This window comes from Homo sapiens, chromosome 6 (assembly GCF_000001405.40).
Source record: "Homo sapiens chromosome 6, GRCh38.p14 Primary Assembly".
Taxonomy (NCBI): Eukaryota; Metazoa; Chordata; class Mammalia; order Primates; family Hominidae; genus Homo; species Homo sapiens.
Genome location: NC_000006.12, coordinates 42,773,460 through 42,791,505, shown reverse-complemented (window position 1 = coordinate 42,791,505; position 18,046 = coordinate 42,773,460). Strand labels below are relative to the sequence as shown.

Here is an 18,046-nt window from a genome sequence, read left to right as displayed (position 1 = left end):
CTCCTAATGAAAAAAAGTGTCCTGGATTTGGGTTCAACTGAAATAAACCATTTCTAGAAAGGCAATATCTTTCATATCTTATTCTCTCACATTCTCAGACTCAGGGCTTTAATTTTAAGTAATGTTAAGTGTTTAATGTGTTTGCAAGATAAGAGAGCCAAATAACCCACAAAAACAGAACATGTTCGGTTTCACAACTTTATTAAAAATAAATTTATAAGTAAACAAATCGTAACTTTATAGATTAAAGTTGATTGGGATTAAGGAGAACCTGGGTATAAGAGGATCTGGTACAGAGAGGTCTCAGGATCTTTTCCTGAGTGGGAGTACATACGAGGTAGGGAAGAGAAAACAACAAACCAGAACAAAGTTGCTGCTCCCAGGTCCTCTTTCATCCTCCACCTTCCCACACAGCATTCTGACAGCCCCTGAGCTCTCCTCAACTGCACTACAAAAGGGCAGGCCACCCCCAGCACAGTCAAGTCCTGAGCTCCCTCTGCTTGTAGCCAGGCACCATGTTAGTGATTTCCACCTCAGGGCTTTCCTTTTAAAATCCACACCCCACATGCCTTTGCAGTCAGCTCTCTCACCTCTCCATACTCATTTCACTCTTCCCCAACTCCCCCAGCCCACCTTCTGCCAGCTCCTTCACTCACTGTATTTTCCTCTTCTACTATACAGAACATTATTCATCAAGCAAGAGCCATGCCATGCAGAAACGCATCTGGTATGCTACTTAAATCATGCCGTTTCACCCGTTTTTCCCCAGATTTGCTCCTCTCACCTTTAACTCAAAGCTATCTTTCTCAGTGAAGAATGTAGACAGCTATTTTGAATTCCATCATCTACTCCATTCTTATTTTCTCTAATCTCACTTTACGGTTATTGTTTAGCCTATTTGGGGAGCAGAGAAAACTCATGAAAAAGGGAATGACAGCAGACTCAAAGAGGAAAGAAAGGGGAAAAGAAGGTGGGGGGGGGGTGCTACATACTTCCATTTGACATTATTTAAATAAAAAATGATTTTCTCGGCAGGATGCAGTGGCTCACGCCTGTAATCCCAGCACTTTGGGAGGGAAAGGTGGGAAGACTGCTTGAGCCCAGGAGTTTGAGGCCAGCCTGGGTGACAAAGAGAAACCCCTGTCTCTACAAAAAAAAAAAAAAAAAAAAAAAAATTAAATTATCTGGGCATGGTGTTGCATTTCTATAGTCCCAGCTACTTGGGAGGCTGAGGTTGGGGGAATCCCTTGATCCCAGGAGGTCCAGGCTGCAGTGAGCTACAATTGTACCACTGCACTCCAGGCTGGGTAACAGTGAGAACCTGTCTCAAAAACAAACAAAAAATGAAACTCAATGCTTATTTCTCTCCTTCCCTGTTCTGTAATCAGACTTTTTTTCTCATCACGTGCACAGATCAGAATGTCAAATGCTATAAGCCGCCACACATTCAATGGTCTTGATTCTTTTTCTCACAGATCCCTCTACTAGTGTAAGATATTGCTGATCTCTAACAGAATACTGTTTTCCTTTTGATTCCCATCATTCTACTCTACCTAGGTTCTCCAAGTACTGAGTCAGCAAATGTTTACTGAGTGCTCAACTTGTTTTGAATGCTGTGCTAAAGGCTTAGAACAAAACAGTAAACATGGGAGCAAATAATGTAATATTCCCAGGTCCTATACTACAATCTCTACGTCTATAGGTGACTTATGCACCCTCAAGCTTGGTACCATGATAAGAAGAGATACTTTCTCTTTAGTTTCAGTAATCTGAAATTTCATTTCTAAAGCAATTTTCTTCCATATGCAAATAACACCTCTATCTGCCACAAATATTTAAGTGTTCATTCTTTTTTTTTTTTTTTTTGAGACAGTCTAGCTATGTCACCCAGGCTGGAGTGCAGTGGGAAGATCTCAGCTCACTCCAATGTCTGCCTTCCAGGTTCAAGCAATTCTCATGCCTCAGCCTCCTGAGTAGCTGGGATTACAGGTGTGTGCCACCATGCCTGGCTATTTTCTTTGTATTTTTAGTAGAGATGAGTTTTGCCATGTTGGCCAGGCTGGTTTTGAACTCCTGGCCTCAAACGATTTGCCTGCCTCAGCCTCCCAAAGTGCTGGGATTGTAGGTGTGAGCCATGGGCCCAGCCTAATTCATTTTTTACTATGGTAAAATATATGTAAGATTTACAATTTTAACCATTTTTTTCCAGGATTGGGAAAACCCTTTATTTCTCTATAGAGTTACTGAATTTTAAATATTTAAAAGTGTTTGGTTGAGTGGCATTACATACATTCACATTGCTGTGAAACCAAGAGCCCTATCCAGCTTTAGAAATTTTTCATCTTCCCAAACTGAAACTCTGCGCCCATTAACTCACTTTAAGCCAGTAATGATTTTCATGGCCCCCACTCTGATTCTTCTCTTGCTTTCCTACTCAGCTAACATTTCAAGGTTCATCATCAAAATCACCCCCTTGCAACTACTCTCAAGCCTCTGGCACTGCTTCTCCTCTGTCAAACCTGCAGGGCAAAACACGAATTTTGGGTGAACTGATCACCTGCCTGCTCTTCGCTGCCCTCATAACAGCTGAATGTTGCTAGGAGAAAAAAAAAAATCACACAACTAACTCAGCTGACTGGTTTCACCTTAAATTCATGGCCCCAAGCCACGGCAAGGGATTCAACAATGCCCAGCATTGAAACTACCTTGTTTCCCAGTTACTCAGTTCCTTGTCCTGTTGCTCAAGGTGAAGTGTCCATCTTTCCTGAAATTATCCACTACCCCTTCTTTGTTTAAGTCACCGGCCTTGCCTCAGACTTCACTGAGAAAACAGAAGCCGTCAGAAAGTTAAGTCCTATATTCTACCTCCAATTCACCTTGCACTTGTGCCCCCATTCTTTGTCTTCTGCCACACTGCGTTGTCTTGCTCCCACTAAAGGCAAGTGTTCTTCCTGTGTCTTGAATTCCTTAAGAATGCTGCTCCCGGCCAGGCATGGTGGCTCACACCTATAATCCCAACATTTTGGGAGGCCTAGGTGCGTGGATCACCTGAGGTCAGGAGTTCGAGACCAGCCTGGCTAACATGGTGGACCCGTCTCTACTAAAAATACAAAATTAGCTGGGTGTGGTGGTGCATACCTGTAATTCTAGCTACTTGGGAGGCTGAGGCAGGAGAATTGCTTGAACCCAAGAGGTGGAGGTTGCAGTGAGCTGAGATTGCGCCACTGCACTCCAGCCTGGGCAACAAGAGCAAAACTGTCTCCAAAAAAAAAAAAAAAAAAAAGAATGCTGCTCCCTTGGTAGTCTTGGTCTCTCTTCTGGATTAGTCTCACCTTCTCTATTAAATATTCTCATTAGCCTATCTAGTTCCCATTGTTTAAAAGAAAAGCCTTCTTCTTTACATAGGGAGACCCTGTCTCTATAAAAAAAATTTTTTTTTAATTAGTTGGGTTACAGTGGTGCACACCTGTGGTCCCAGCTACTCAGGAGAGGCTGAGGTAGGAGGATCACTTGAGCCCAGTAGGTTGAGTCTGTGGTAAGCCGTAATTTGCACCATTGCACTCCAACCTGGATGACTGAGTGACATCTTGTCTTAAAAAAAAATTAAAAAAAAAAAAAAGCCCTCTTCTTTGACCCCATCTCCCTCTGAAGCCACTAAGCTGCTTCTCTCCACTTTACAGCAGCAAAATTTCCCTAACGAGCTGTCGATATTCACCTCACTTCCTATTCTCTCTTCGAAGCATCCCAATGTGGCTTGGACCACTTGTCAAAACAGTCACCATCATGTTGTCAAATCCAAATAGACATTTCTCTATTCTCATTGTGTAACTTCTCAGCAGCATTTGACAGAGGTGACCATTCCCTCTTTCTTGAAAATAATAAAATACTCTCCCACTTTAATGGCTGAACCTTTTCAGTCTCCTTTGCCCAAGCTTTAGCCGTTGTTAGTGTTTTAGGGCTTTTTTTTTTCCCCACACAGAGCTGGCTGTGTGGGAGACCAGAGTTTTATTACTCCAGTCTCGCAGGGCTTGATCTTAAGGCCACAAACAATCTCAATCAGTTCCATGACATGCCATCTGTATACTAGTGACTCCCAAAATTTATGTCCAGTCTAGATCACTCCCCTCAGCTCAACTTAAATATTCAGTGCCTACTTAACTCTCCGCTTGGATGCCTCCCAAGTATTTACACAGAACTCTTGCTACCCACTCCTCTCCACCTGTTCCTCCTCCAGTCTTCTCCAACCAGCAAATGGTACCATCAGCAGCCCAAGGCTGGAGCCTGCAACCTGAAGGCACCCTTGATTCCTCCCTCTCCCTCCACAGCCAACCCATTAAGCAAATCCTTCTGATTCCACCTCCAAAATACATATGTAAAAGTTGCTGTCTACTCTGCTGTATCTCATTGCCACTTTACTTGCCTGAGATACTATCGATCTTGGGCTGACTACAATAGCCTCCTAACTTCCCTGTTTCCTCTCTTCCTCTAAATAGCCAGTTATTTTTAAAAACATTATCACTGCCCAAATTAAAACCCCTCTCATTGCCATTAGAATTAAATCCAAAAATCCCCCTATGGAGTAATACAAGACGACCTATAGGATCTCTCCAACTCCATCTCATTCCTACCCTATTCATAATTTCTCCCCTTGCTCAGAGGAGCCTTCTCTCCAGTCTAACAACCAGCCTTCCAGGTCTTTGAACTTGTTCCCAGGTCTGAAATGTCTCCCCAGCTTTTCACATGGCTAGCACAAGTTCATGTTTCACGTCTCAGCTCAAATATCACCTCTATGAAAAGACTTTCTTTGACCCTTACTAGCCAAAATGGTCATTCCCAACATACTCTTTTAGATCCACCAGCCACTTAATATTTTTTCTTAATCTGTCATTATCTTGATTTTTTAACTATTTTCTGTCCTTCCCCACTATACTGTAAATTTCATGAGTGCAGAGATCTTGCCGGTCTTAAAATTCCAACAAGGTTAAAGAAGCTACTGTTTCCCTCTAAGCAGTTTTAGATTTCCCCCTCCTTTCAAGCTTTATTGGATTTTAGTCTAGTCAAAGATTATAATTACTTTGGCATTTACCATAAAAAACAAGGGGAGAAAAACCAGAAGTGACTTCCCTTCAAAAACTGGAAGTCACTCCACCCACCTAGTGGTCTAGACTGGACACAGACTGCACAGAGGTATCCAACAAATGCTCCTTACAAAAACTTTCCAATGTGGACATATGCAAAGATGGTATAATTCTGACATCTGCATCAAAAATCTAAGTTTTAAACTACTCTCCCTAGCAATTACTAAACACAACGATTTGAGAAGAATCAACAAGAGAAAGCACAAAATAAAATCCATGATCCTTAATCCAGAGAAATTAATGATTTCATCACTGACTTGGTTCTTTCTCATTTTAGTAAGGTCATCTATTCATCACCTGCTCTAGATGCTTCTTCCTGACCTGTGTTTTTTGTCTCCAGGCTGGAGTGCAGTGGCGCGATCTCAGCTCACTACAACCTCCGTCTCCCAGGTTCAAACCATTCTCCTGTCTCAGCCTCCTGAGTAGCTGAGATTACAGGCATGTGCCCACCAAGCCCGGCTAATTTTTGTATTTTTAGTAGAAACGGGGTTTCACCACGTTGGTCAGGCTGGTCTCGAACTCCTGACCTCGTGATCCGCCCACCTCGGCCTCCCGAAGTGCTGGGATTACAGGTGTGAGCCACTGTGCCTGGCCCTGACCTGTGTTTTTATCCATATTCTGCTATTAGGTTCCACATAACTTGACTATCCTACTTCCCAAAACCCAGAAGATATGTCCACAATTCAAAATTCAGGAAACAACCTTTTCTTTTAAGGATTTATCTTCAGGTCTTTATATCAGGGTCTTTTCTACCCTATTCTCAATTTCTGGATCAATCCTGGATTCAATTCTTTTTTTTTTTTTTGAGATGGGAGTTTCGTTCTTGTTTCCCGGACTGGAGTGCAATGGTGGGGTCTCGGGCCACTGCAACCTCTGCCTCCCCAGTTCAAGTGATTCTCTCGCCTCAGCCTCCCAAGTAGCTGGGATTACAGGCACCTGCCACCACACTCGGCTAGCTTTTTTGTATTTTTAGTACAGACGGGGTTTCACCACGTTGGACAGGCTGGTCTCTAACTCCTGACTTCAGGTAATCCGCCCGCCTCAGCCTCAAAAGTGCTGGGATTACAGGCATGAGCCACCGTGCCAGGCCTCAAGGCTACGTTTGTTACACAGCTGTCTTGACTAAACTAGATGGCCTGGCTAGACCTAGAAGCCTGTATGTTGTATAACTTCTCAATAGAATGAGACAACATACTTTAAAAAAAAACGTACTGAGATTTTAAAGTCTTAGGATACCTAAACCTTTTTCTCTGAGGAAATAATTTCGATTTGATAAATGGCAGCTACAAGAGGAAAAACAAAAATGAGACTAATGTGAGCAAAAAACTACTGAAACTCAAAATTACATGGACCTCAATTCTCATGTTCCAATTCAAAAAAGAGCAGAACAGTGCATAGCATAGTACAAGACAGTCCAAACGTGTGTCTGTGTCACTGGAATCACCTGGAGAGCTTTGGAATACTAGATCTTTGGATATAGCGGGTGCAGGGTGGGCCAGAATGTCAATATTGAACATCAAGAAGTTGGAGTGCCTGACACATTATTAAAAGACCCAGTTGGCCCTAGCAAATGATGGTGGAAGAGGTGATGTTACAAATCTCTATTTAAAAACATCTCCCAAATTAATTCTGATGCTCACATTTGGAAACCATAGGTGTAGGGGGAAGAATACAGCTTTTGTGATCCAATGGCAACTTTACTACTTAAAACTGCAAGACCTCGAACAATTACTATACTTCTATGAACGTTAGTTCATTCCCCGGTAGACAGATCATAAAATCACTATTTCTGGGCTGATATAATAGAAATTATACAAAGCATCAGGCACAGTTCCTGGCATACAGCAGGTATTCAATATATAATAGGTCTCATTAAATGGTCTAAAACATCCACTATGTATATTTATAAACACAAGGACACACCTACTGGCACCACGGTGTTATTTTTCTACACTAGAAATTAACTATTTACTTTCCATGTATGTGGACTTCTAGAGAGATCAGAGCTTTATAGACCTTTCCCCTCCTCTTTTCAATAATAATGTAAAAGTTAAACCCCTCCCCCATCTCTAATAGATACTACCAACAGATACTTACATGGATGCTTTTAATAATGCAGTTTTGCTTTTTAGAAGAGTTTCAGACTGTTTTAAAGCGTATTTAACTTTTCAGATTAGAGTTCTAAGAAACTGTTTTAATTCACTGCCATTTGAAGTAATATGAAAGCCAACAAAAAAAGTTTCAAAAAACTGGAACCCATCACCTTCCCGTAATCTGACAACTAGTAAATGTCTCCTCAGGGTTGTTTTAGAGTAAAACTAAGAAACGAAGCGTAGGGTACCCACAGAGAACCATGCTACCGGAAGGCAGACAGACAATGTCCTGGACTCTTTTTTTTAGTTTTGTAACCTGGTTGGACTCTACTTTCAATAACTGAAGAATTAAGGAAAAGGCTCAATGCCCTGCCCCCACGCCGGGCCAGAGAAGACAAAGACGTCCACTCTCAGACCGCAGGAGAGAAAATGGCAGGAGCGCCTCACCTCCAATTTCGACTGGGAGGAGTGGGGGTGCGGGGTCAGGGAGGGAACCCATCAGCCGCGAGGCTCGACCCCCAGCCCCCTTCTTCCATCACAAACAAGTGGTTAGGAGGAAGAAGCTGGCCCCAGCCCTTCCCGCTCCGAGCCGGCGGCCTCGTCTTTTGGGTCTGGGGGCGTGGGGAAGGAGAAGGCCGCGCGACCCCAGTCCCATCTCCAGAATTCAGCACCCTGCTCTCGGCTCCCGCTAGCCCCGGGCCTCGCGGCGCCCTGGTCATCGAGATGTCCTCGGAGGGCGCCGCCCGCGCCGCGAGAAAGATGGCGCCCGCCGAGCAACTGCGCCACCAGCCCTGGCGACAGGCCAGGCCCAGCGCCATCTTAGCGCCTTCCAACCGCACCCCCCCACCCAATATCCCGCATTTGGGGCGACTCGGGGGGGCGCGAACAGCATAACGCCCGCGCGCACTCGGCCAAAAATGCGCCGTCCCAGCCGCACATCTCTTCTGGCCGGCGCGGCGAACAGCGCGGGCCTCGCAGGAGACGCCCGGCTGGGCCGCCGGTCCTCCGCGCGGCTGGGGGCTCGGCCGGACGCGGCCGCGGATCCTCGGCGGTGCTTCGAAAAGGCAGCGAGGCGGCTGGGAAGGGGCAGTCCCGCGGCAGGTGCGCGCCGCCGCCGCGGGCTCGGAGCGGGAGCGGGAACGGGGCCGGGGCGACTCGCCTGCCCCGAGCTCTCCCCGCCGCACCCCGGACCTGCTCTCCTCGCCGCGGCCGCCCGCAGATGCGGCGGGAATGGGGAAGCCAGGATGAAAAATAAACCCCGTCTCCGCCGCCTCCCTCCCCACCCTCTCCCCTCCCCCTCCCCAGACGCGGGGTCCATTTTGCCGAGAAGAAAGAAAATGTGATTCACACCCTAGAGCTTCCGAGAGAGAAAAGAAACGAGGGGGGGAAAACAGAGGGGAGGAGATTGGAAAAGCTTATTTTTCTTCCTCGCCCGCCGTCACTCCAGGCCCTCCCTGCCCCCTGCTCGCGGCCCCGCCGCGCCGTCTTCCCCTCGCCGAGCCCTGCTCCCTCCTTCCCGGCTCCCGGCGGCTCCGGGGGGCGGAAAACACACTCACACTCGCGCACACAACTAATTTTAAACCGGCTCAATCAATGAGTCATTAAAAGGCTTCCCTCCCCTCCCCTCCCCACCACCAACCGCCACGCCACCCCCTTCCCGGGCTCTCCCTCTCCCCGCTCCAGAAATTTGCATCCGCGGAAAAGAAAAAAAAGGAAAAAGAAAGGCGCCGGGCCCCCACCCCGCCGAGGCGCCCCCGGCCCGGCCTCGCCGCCCCCTGCCCGCCTGCGCCCCCGCCCGAGACACTGAACTTGGTCTTCCCGGGGCCCCGGCAGCGCTGGGAAAGGCATAAACACTCGATTCCCCTTTTCTCCGTGTCCATTAAACATCCACCCACCACCACCATCACCCACCCACAAACCCACCCCCCCCCAAAAAAAAAAAAAAAACACAGCCTTAGCCAATAGCTCTCTGGGCTGAAACCTAATATCCTGGTTTTGGCAACTCGGTGTTTAATTTGCTCCTTTCTTTTCAGTCTGGAGACAGATCTCCAGCCCCCCCTCCCTCGCTTTTCCCCTCCCCGAAGGAAAGAGGCAGAGGAAGGAGGTTGTGTGTTTTTTTTTTCTCCTTGAAATTTTTATCACAAAATTATAATACACTCAAAGGGAAACTCACCGTCATGAAAAAGCAGTGCCTTGTCAACGGGGTTTCTGCGCCATCGCAACAGGGGCGGCGGCGGCGGCGGCGGCGGGCGCGGGGCCGGGGGCCGGAGCGCGGGAGCTCCCGGCCGAGCGGCGCCGGCCACACGCGCTCCGCTCTCTCTCTCGCTCACCCCCGCGCCGGGCCGGGGCGCCGCTCCCCGCGCCCGCCCGGCCTTCATGCTCTGCGCCCGGGCAAACCGCTCGCCTGCTCGTCTACCTCCAAACTTCGGTTCTCGCCTGGCAAAAAATGTGGAGATTAGGATTTTTTTAATTTAAAAAATTTTTTTTTTTTTTTTTGGAAAATCAAGCTGCAAGGATGTTCATTCGTTTCCTTTGGGATTCTTTTCAACTTCAGAAATGTATTGGTTTATTCAAGAAACAGTTTTATTTGGCTTTAAAACAATTACTAAGATCCACGAGGTGCGTGCTAATTCTCTTGCAGGCTCTCTCTCCACACACACACACACACACACACACACCCACCCACCCACCCAGTTTAACTTGACACGGGAAGGGGGGAGATTAAAGACAAAAAAAAAAAACCCTACAAGATTTGTTTAGAACTCTAATTAGAGCAAGCCTCAGTGAATACGTTTTGCATATGCTTTTTAAAAACCAAAACGACTTTTAACTTAGTTATTAGGCAAATAACTGGTTCATCCTAACTTTCAAATGTACTAAGCTTTCCTTTGCAACACTCTTTGTCCATTCCAAAATTCTTGAAACCTTACCTGTGAAGCCCGTATGTGAACATTAAAAAGGAAAACAAAACTTCAGTGACTAAAAGGAAGGTGAGGCAGAGTAAATCACTCTCAAAACATTCATTTTCTACTGCCTTCTCTTTATGTAGATATCTTTTATCTCTATATTTGCGGAATTTTCATTACATAACCCCCTCATTCTTAAAAGAGAGCTAGTCAATCTTTTAACATTCTTTGGTCCAAGTATAACTACCACCTATTTTTAATCTCAAATCTCAAATTGTTGAAACTTCTCTGTAAACTATCTAGTATCCAAAGTATTTAGATTATGTGGCCCAGGCCGGGCGCGGTGGCTCACGCCTGTAATTCCAACACTTTGGGAGGCCGAGGCGAGTGGATCACCTGAGGTCAGCAGTTCGAGACCAGTCTGGACAACATGGTGAAACCCTGTCTCTACTAAAAATACAAAAATTAGCTGGGCGTGGTGGTGGGCTCCTGTAATCCCAGCTACTCGGGAGGCTGAGGCAGGAGAATCGCTTGAACCCGGGAGACAAAGGTTGCAGTGAGCGGAGATCGCGCATTGCACTCTAGCCTGGGCGACACAGCAAGACTCAAACAAAAACAAAACAAAACAACAACAACAACAACATTACGTGGCCTGGAGTGGGAGCAGGTGCCTTTGTAGTCTAGGTTAACTACAAATGCCCACAAAATATACTAGGGGTTTTGTTGTCTTTTATTTTAAATAAACATCAAGGATAGGTAAAAGGTGAATTGTACAGAATGTAATTCAGGTTTTAAAAAATACATATTAAGCCTAAGAAATGTTATAAATTATTTTAAAATTCATTTGTAATGCATATAGCAATAGGATCCTGCTGATAAACAGAATGCTCAGCTGCTCTGCCTATGGAGTAGCTATTCTCAAATGGCTCAAGCCCATCTCTCCCAGATATTTGGTGAGTTCTCAATAAAACTCTCTCTAGATTAAAATTATTTAAGTGAAATTATTGTATGGCTTCTATATCCCCTTAAGCATTAAAAAAAAATGTAATGGTAGTACACCTTTCTTGCATATATAAGGATACTGTAACTGGACTATGTTGCATAAATTAAATCTGTTGGGGCCGGCATACAATGTTGTCATATTCAACACAGAAGATCTTTTTAGTCAGGGTACAGTGGTTCAAGCCTGTAATCCTAGCCCTTTGGGAGGCTGAGGGAGGAGGATCATTTGAGGTTAGAAGTTTGAGACCAGCCTGGGCAACATGGTGCGAGATCCCATCTCTAAAAAAAAAATTAAAAATTAGCCAGGTATGTGTGGCACATGCCTGTAGTTCCAGCTACTGGGGAGGCTGAGGCAGGACGACTGCTTGAGCCCATAAGTTGGAGGTTGCAGTGAGCTATGGGCAGGCTGACAGAGTGAGACCCTGTCTCTAAAAAATAATAAAAAAGATCTGGCTGGGTGCCGTGGCTCACGCTTGCAATCCCTTTGGGAGGCCAAGATGGGAGGATAGCTTGAGGCCAGGAGTTCAAGAGCAGCTTGGTCAACATGGTGAAACCCCGTCTCTACCAAAAATACAAAAATTAGCCGGGCATGGTGGCATGCACCTGTAGTCCCAGCTACTACAGAGAGGCTGAGGCACGAGAATCGCTTGAGATTGAGCAACAGAGCAAGACTCTGTCTCAAAAAACAAACAAAGAAAAACACTATATCTTGTTCTGGTACTGCCATTCTATCATTCATAATGTATGCTTTATATTTAAATGTGCCTTAAAAATACATTCAGTGATTTAGTATTACACAGTATCATTGAGGTGTTTTCTCAGATATTTTGCTTCAAATGCAGCCAAGGGCTCCTTGGAACAGTAATCTTTGCATAAATTAGCATATTTTTCTACACCTGATGGTTGGACCAACCAGTTTTCTAATTGGCTTGGAAAATTTTTTAAACATGTTTTAAGTTGCCTTTGGATTGGCTGGGATGTAATTATAATACCCATTTCTAAGAATTACATTTCAAGAGTCCATATATTATGCATTGCAATTAGGACCAACCAAGCAAGTTTTACAGCTGTTGCTCCACAGCTCCAATGATATGTGTGTGTGTGTGTGTGTGTGTGTGTGTGTGTGTGTGTGTGTGTGTGTGTTTTTCTTGAGACAGGATCTCCCTCTGTGACTCAGGCTGGAGTGCAGAGGCATGATCATATCTCACTATAGCCTGGAACTCCTGGGCCCCAGGAATCCTCTAGCCTCAGCCTTCCTAGTAGCTGGGAATATAAGTGCACACCAGCACACTCAGCCAATTTTTTTAGTTTTTTAGAGACGGGTCCAGCCTGACCAACATGGCGAAACCCCATCTCTACCAAAAACACAGAAAAAAAAAAAATTAGCCAGGCGTGGTGGCAGGCGCCTGTAATCCCAACTACTCAGGAGGCTGAGGCAGGAGAATTGCTTGAACTCAGGAGGTGGAGGTTGCAGTGAGCCAAGATTGCGCCATTGCACTCCAGCCTGGGCGACAGAGCAAGACTCCGTCCCTCCCCCACCCCGCAAAAAATAAGAGACAGGGTCTTGCTTTGTTGCCCCCTGGGTTTTGAACTCCTGGGATCAAGTGATCCTTCCGCCTCAGCCTCTCAAACTGCTGGTATTACAGGTGTAAGCCACAGTGCTGGGCCCTCCAATAAAACAGTAATGGATTTCGGAAAGCTATCCTCTCAAGTCAGCCAGAATTGCAAGGAAACTGAAATCTGACTTTGAAAAATGACCTAACAAACCTGAATTTATATACTCATAAAGAGCTTAGGGCATTGCAGGCTTTTTAAAGAGAATGTCCAAATACAAGAACATTGACATTTATTGAAGGTCTTCTAAGTGCCACCAGGCACTATGCTAGATACTTATACACATTATCATATGAACTTTCACTCAAACCCGAAGAATAAGGTTTAATTATCTTGATTTTGTAAATGAGGTTCCCAATAGGATAGTTTCAGCAATTTGCCTGGGAACATCAGTCTAATAAGGGCAGACAGGAGAACCAAGTCTGGCTGACCCCAAAACTCACGCTCTGTCAGGCCTGAAAAGGATCTTTGGAACAAGCAGTCTTTGCTGTTTCAATGTTAACATTAGAGTCCAGTGGTGTGGTACAGAGGGGACAACTGTCTAATTAGTAAAGACCTACTTTGAGAATGCCAGTTGTCCAACCTAATTTTAAGTCTGGAGGAGTTTACAAAATACTGGGACACAGTAGGAGAATTTCAGATTCTCCAGGTACAACCAAAATTGTAATTATTTAATAATATGGCAAAACAAAAACAACTTTTTCCCCAGATTATTACAAAACTTCATTTAAATGAGGGATATGCTTTGTATATTAAAATTTAAAATTATAGTTTATATAGACAGGATTTTGGTAGTGAATGTAAGATTAGAAAACTTTTTAAGAGGAAAGTTCTTAAAATGGCTTTACTATATGCAAATAGCTTTAATTGTATTCTCTACAATTTAATTATGTACAATAAAATGGCCACTCCTATGATTCCCATCTGTGTATGTGACTTAGAAAGAAAGGCAACTGGACAGTAAAAAAAAAGAGGATGGAAATATAATTGAAATGTTCTAACACATGCTTGGACCTCCAAATAAACAGGCCCAGTGTCCACATAACAATGAAAAGTGAAAGTGTTTTTCTTTTTTTCCCTCCAAATGTTCCCCTTGGTTGGTTAAACATTCTCAGAAGTGGAGAATGAAAATGCTGGAGATTGAGTAGTGATATGCATGACCAGATGTATCCAGATCACAGAAATACCAACACATACCAGAAGAGTTAGTAAGTGTTCTATAGAGTGTTTGTGAAGCAAATTTTTTTAAATTATCGGTGTGCATAAATAAGGTATATACTTTTATTTGTACATATAGATGTACTTATATTCTGAGGTTTAAGTGTACTGGCTCTGTATTCAGACTGACCTGGGTTCAAATTCTAATTTTGTCACTTACCAGGTGTGTGGCTTTGGGCAAGTCATTTCACCACTCAAGGCTTCAACTTCCTCATCTATAAAATGGGGATGATTATAGTACCCACCTCTGAGAGTTATTTTAAGCGTTCAGGAACTAGTGTAAAATGTTTAGCATGGTGTCTGAAACATAATGAGAGTTCAATACATTCAACTGTACTGCCTTATTTTAGTTATGTGTCAGGTTAAGCCCTGTGAGATCTTCCCATGTGAATATTCAATGGCAGTCTCCTATGATTCAACCTAATATGTTTCTCTTATGTTCCCTCCTGGATAGGGAGCTCCTCAAGGATGCCAGACCATCATCTGCAAACTTAAATTCTCTAAGAGCCTAGCAGAGTTATTTTGTATATAGTTTGCTCACAATCAATGCTTTTGCAATAAAAGCAACATAGCCCAGTCCACAAGATCTACAAGAAATTAGCATATCTCTGTCTAGAGACCCATATATTAAGGGGGTAAAGTAGATCTCCTTAAACCATGTAAAACCATTGCCCAGTTGATTACAGGCAGTACTATACAGCCTAATGGTTTAGAGTTCTCTCTCTCCAGTTTTATTACTGCCATTTTTTAGCCACGTGATTTTGGCCTAGTTTAAAAATTTCTCTCACCTAAGTTTCCTCATCTGTAAAATGGAGATAGTAATAACCTATATCTCAGGTTGGTTGGAGGAGAGTTCAGTAATATTAAGTATATAAAACCTTTGCTTTGGCCAGGTACGGTGGCTCATGCCTGTAATCCTAACACTTTGGGAGGCTGAGGCAGGAGGGTCGCTTGAGCCCAGGAGTTTGAGACCAGCCTGGGCAACATGGTCAGATCCCATTTCTACAAAAAATACAAAAATTAGCTGGGCATGGTGGCATGTGCCTGTGGTCCCAGCTACTTGGGAGGCTGGGGTGGGAGGATCACTTGAGTCTGGGAGGTTGAGTCTGTAGTGAGCCATGATCAAGCCACTGCACTCCAGCCTGGGCGACAGAGCAAGACCCTGTCTCAAAAATAAAAAAATAATAATAAAAATAAGGGCCGGGCTCAGTGGCTCATGCCTGTAATCCCAGCACTTTGGGAGGCCAAGATAGAAGGATCACAATGTCAGGAGTTCAAGACCAGCCTGGCCAAGAGACCAGCCTGGTCAATATGGTGAAACCCCATCTCTACTAAAAATACAAGAATTAGCCAGGTGTGGTGGCGGGTGCCTGTAATCCCAGCTACTCGGGAGGCTGAGGCAGGAGAATTGCTTGAATCCAGGAAGCAGAGGTTGCAGTGAGCTGAGATTGCACCATTGCACTCCAGCCTGGGTGACAGAGAAAGACTCTGACTCAAAATAAATAAATAAATAAAATAAAAAACCTTTGCTTCAGTGTCCCATATATAGTATTGAATAACAGTTGCCATTATTGTTGTGGTTGTTGTTGTTATTAAAAGTACCGTGGAATTATTTTCAAAGCAATGATAAGCAATTTATTGGAGTGATTACAAATGTTTTCAATACCTTGCCTACATTATTTTATTCAATATATGAATTTAAACACTTCACATCATCCTTGTAGAGGACTAAAGCTATTTGTCTCTATATTAAATGACATGTTTCAAGCTGGTTATTTTCCTTGACAGACTTAAAAAAAATCTGAACTCCTACAAGCTTTCAGTACAAGGATAAGGAATTAATACAATACAGCAGAGCTGTTAATAATAAAAAAAAAGCATTCAGCACTCCCACTGGCCTTCCTGTCTTACCCATGTAGACTGTTTCCCCATAGAATATGTTGAGGGGAGGACAGCCATCAGGTTAGGGGGGCACCACATGCTGTTGGAAGGCATGCCCAGGATGTGCCATTCACTGGCTCCCAGGTCCCCCTGGTATTCTATCAGAACTCTTTAACTCTCCTAAATAGAGCATTCCTTCTATTCCACCTGCTCAGGAGGATGGGGGAGTGGAGAGGAAGTGGAATGGAGGTCACATAATCAGGCTTTAAGGTGCTACCACAAAGCACACTTGGAGCTTAGTGAGAAAGTCAGTCTCTAAGATAGAACACCCATGTAAAGGGACTTGCCCAATAAATGTCAGTGTGCTTTCTGAAAATGAAACTACTAAGAGGTAAAACATCTGAAGAAGGAACTACTCTGGCCGGGCGCAGTGGCTCACGCCTGTGATCCCAGCACTTTGGGAAGCTGAAGCGGGCGGATCACCTGAGGTCAGGATTGTTCAAGACCAGCCTGGCCAACATGGTGAAACCCTGTCTCTACCAAAAATACAAAATTTAGCTGGGTGTGGTGGCATGCACCTGTAATCCCAACTACTTGAGAGGCTGAGACAGGAGAATCGCTTGAACCTGGGAGGCGGAGGTTGCAGTTAGTTGAGATGGCGCCACTGCACTCCAGCCTGGGCAACAAGAGCGAAACTCTGTCTCAAAAAAAAAAAGGAACCACTCTGAAAAAGATGACTCATAAATATGAGTGGAAGACAAGGAAATAAGTATGTACTAAGCAGGCACAAAGAAATATCCTTGACAATAAAGAAAAAAAAAAACTACGGGAGTGGAGACACTGTGTGACCCTCACAAGTATTCTGATCACTAAAGAGCCACATTCTTACTTGAGCACTTTTTAGAGCCTGATTAAATACCCTTAGACCATATAATTCTTTCTTTCCTAAATCTTCCAATTACTAGTTCCATTTCCCAGGGACCCTAATACTGTAAAAGTGACACCCTGTGCAAAGGTACTCTTATACTCCAAATGTTTATATATCTCTCTCACTATAAATCATACAATCAACTACTAGTTAGGTGTATTTATCAATCCTGAGTCAGGTCTAAGACAATCAGGAGGATGTTCAGAGATTGGCAGTCAGAGCAAAGGGCACACTGATGCTCTGAAAGGATATTTCGCACGCGGCCTGGTGAAAATGCGATGAGTTACTCCTGCCCCACCACATGCAAGCACCAAAACTCAAGTAATCATCTTCCCTTCTGAATTTGCTCTTCCTCTCTAGTCTCTATGCATGTTTGTAACACCCACCTTTCCCCTAGACCAACCCCTGGATACTTTTCATTTGTCTATGATTCCTCCTCATTCTCCCTCAAACCATGGAGCTGTTGGAGCTCAGAAAAATGATAGCTTGAAAGATGGCACCCTGATATGCTGAACTAAAGAATGGGCCTCAAGGTCTCTCTGACCTCTCCTCCTCCAAACCCCTATCTTTTCAGTCCTCCGTCTCTCTCAAAAGCACAGGATGTTCTCTGAAGTTTCCTTAACTACTGGACCCCAAAAGAGAAACAGAATTGCCTTAGTTCTCCTCTCTGAAATCTCATTATTTGTCACAGAAAAGACTGAGAAATGCAATCACATCTGGACGGGTTTTTTCACAAGATAATGTCTGCCTCTCACTCAAATTCCAAAACAATCATTTACAAAATAATTTCTGTCCCCTGAACCATTTATTCTTCTTAAAAATCATTTGCTACCCTTCAAAATTGCTCTGATCGCTTAAGCCCAGGAGGTCAAAGCTGCAATGGGCCATCATCCCCAAAAACAGGCTGGCCAGCTGGGCGTGGTGGCTCACGCCTGTAATCCCAGCACTTTTGGGAAGCCGAGGCGGATGGGTCACCTGAGGTCAGGAGTTTGAGACCAGCCTGGCCAACATGAAGAAACCCTGTCTCTACTAAAAATACAAAAATTAGCTGGGCGTGGCGGTGGGCGCCTGTAATCCCAGCTACTCGGGATGCTGAGGCATGAGAATCGCTTGAACCCAGGAGGCAGAGGTTGCAGTGAGCTGAGATTGTGCCATTGCACCCTAGCCTGGGTGACAGAGCGAGACTCCGTCTCACACACACAAAAAAAGGCTGGCCAAGGTGGCTCTTGCCTATAATCCCAGTACTTTAGGAGGCCTAGGCTAGAG

The 18,046-nt window shown here is 44.5% G+C and overlaps 1 protein-coding gene and 1 long non-coding RNA gene across 10 annotated transcripts in view, besides 6 other annotated features; both read right to left on the bottom strand.

Moving 5' to 3' along the window:
• BICRAL (BICRA like chromatin remodeling complex associated protein) overlaps positions 1-18,046 on the bottom strand; it is a 122,218-nt gene that overhangs the window by 77,051 nt on the left and 27,121 nt on the right. For 7 of the 9 annotated variants that reach the window (XR_007059228.1, XM_047418544.1, XM_047418547.1 and 4 more), the window contains one exon: positions 9,405-9,667. Coding sequence is in view for 5 of the 9 variants with exons in the window: in XM_047418544.1 (XP_047274500.1) it covers positions 9,405-9,667 (263 nt within the window). In the remaining 4 variants the exon portion in view is untranslated. Of the gene's footprint in view, positions 1-916; positions 931-9,404; positions 9,668-18,046 lie in introns of those variants that run through there. The other 2 variants (NM_001393499.1, XM_024446390.2) reach the window with 2 other exon arrangements.
• LOC401261 (uncharacterized) lies at positions 183-8,010 on the bottom strand. The gene is made up of 2 exons (NR_134654.1): positions 6,175-8,010; positions 183-1,090 (listed from the first exon to the last, which is right to left on the bottom strand). It is a non-coding gene; the product is annotated as an uncharacterized LOC401261 (long non-coding RNA).
• Positions 7,266-7,955: an enhancer, noted in NCBI's record as "NANOG-H3K27ac-H3K4me1 hESC enhancer chr6:42751289-42751978 (GRCh37/hg19 assembly coordinates)". NCBI's record gives its function as "activates a minimal SCP1, AML or CMV promoter by ChIP-STARR-seq in primed H9 embryonic stem cells {active_cell/tissue: H9 hESC(primed)}" and the evidence as "EXISTENCE:reporter gene assay evidence [ECO:0000049][PMID:30033119]".
• Positions 7,820-7,889: an enhancer, noted in NCBI's record as "active region_24572". NCBI's record gives its function as "activates an Ori minimal core promoter by ATAC-STARR-seq in GM12878 lymphoblastoid cells {active_cell/tissue: GM12878}" and the evidence as "EXISTENCE:reporter gene assay evidence [ECO:0000049][PMID:35858748]".
• Positions 7,910-8,099: an enhancer, noted in NCBI's record as "active region_24571". NCBI's record gives its function as "activates an Ori minimal core promoter by ATAC-STARR-seq in GM12878 lymphoblastoid cells {active_cell/tissue: GM12878}" and the evidence as "EXISTENCE:reporter gene assay evidence [ECO:0000049][PMID:35858748]".
• Positions 7,910-8,645: a biological region, named in NCBI's record as "NANOG-H3K27ac-H3K4me1 hESC enhancer GRCh37_chr6:42750599-42751288".
• Positions 7,956-8,645: an enhancer, noted in NCBI's record as "NANOG-H3K27ac-H3K4me1 hESC enhancer chr6:42750599-42751288 (GRCh37/hg19 assembly coordinates)". NCBI's record gives its function as "activates a minimal SCP1, AML or CMV promoter by ChIP-STARR-seq in primed H9 embryonic stem cells {active_cell/tissue: H9 hESC(primed)}" and the evidence as "EXISTENCE:reporter gene assay evidence [ECO:0000049][PMID:30033119]".
• Positions 8,180-8,519: a silencer, noted in NCBI's record as "silent region_17208". NCBI's record gives its function as "represses an Ori minimal core promoter by ATAC-STARR-seq in GM12878 lymphoblastoid cells {active_cell/tissue: GM12878}" and the evidence as "EXISTENCE:reporter gene assay evidence [ECO:0000049][PMID:35858748]".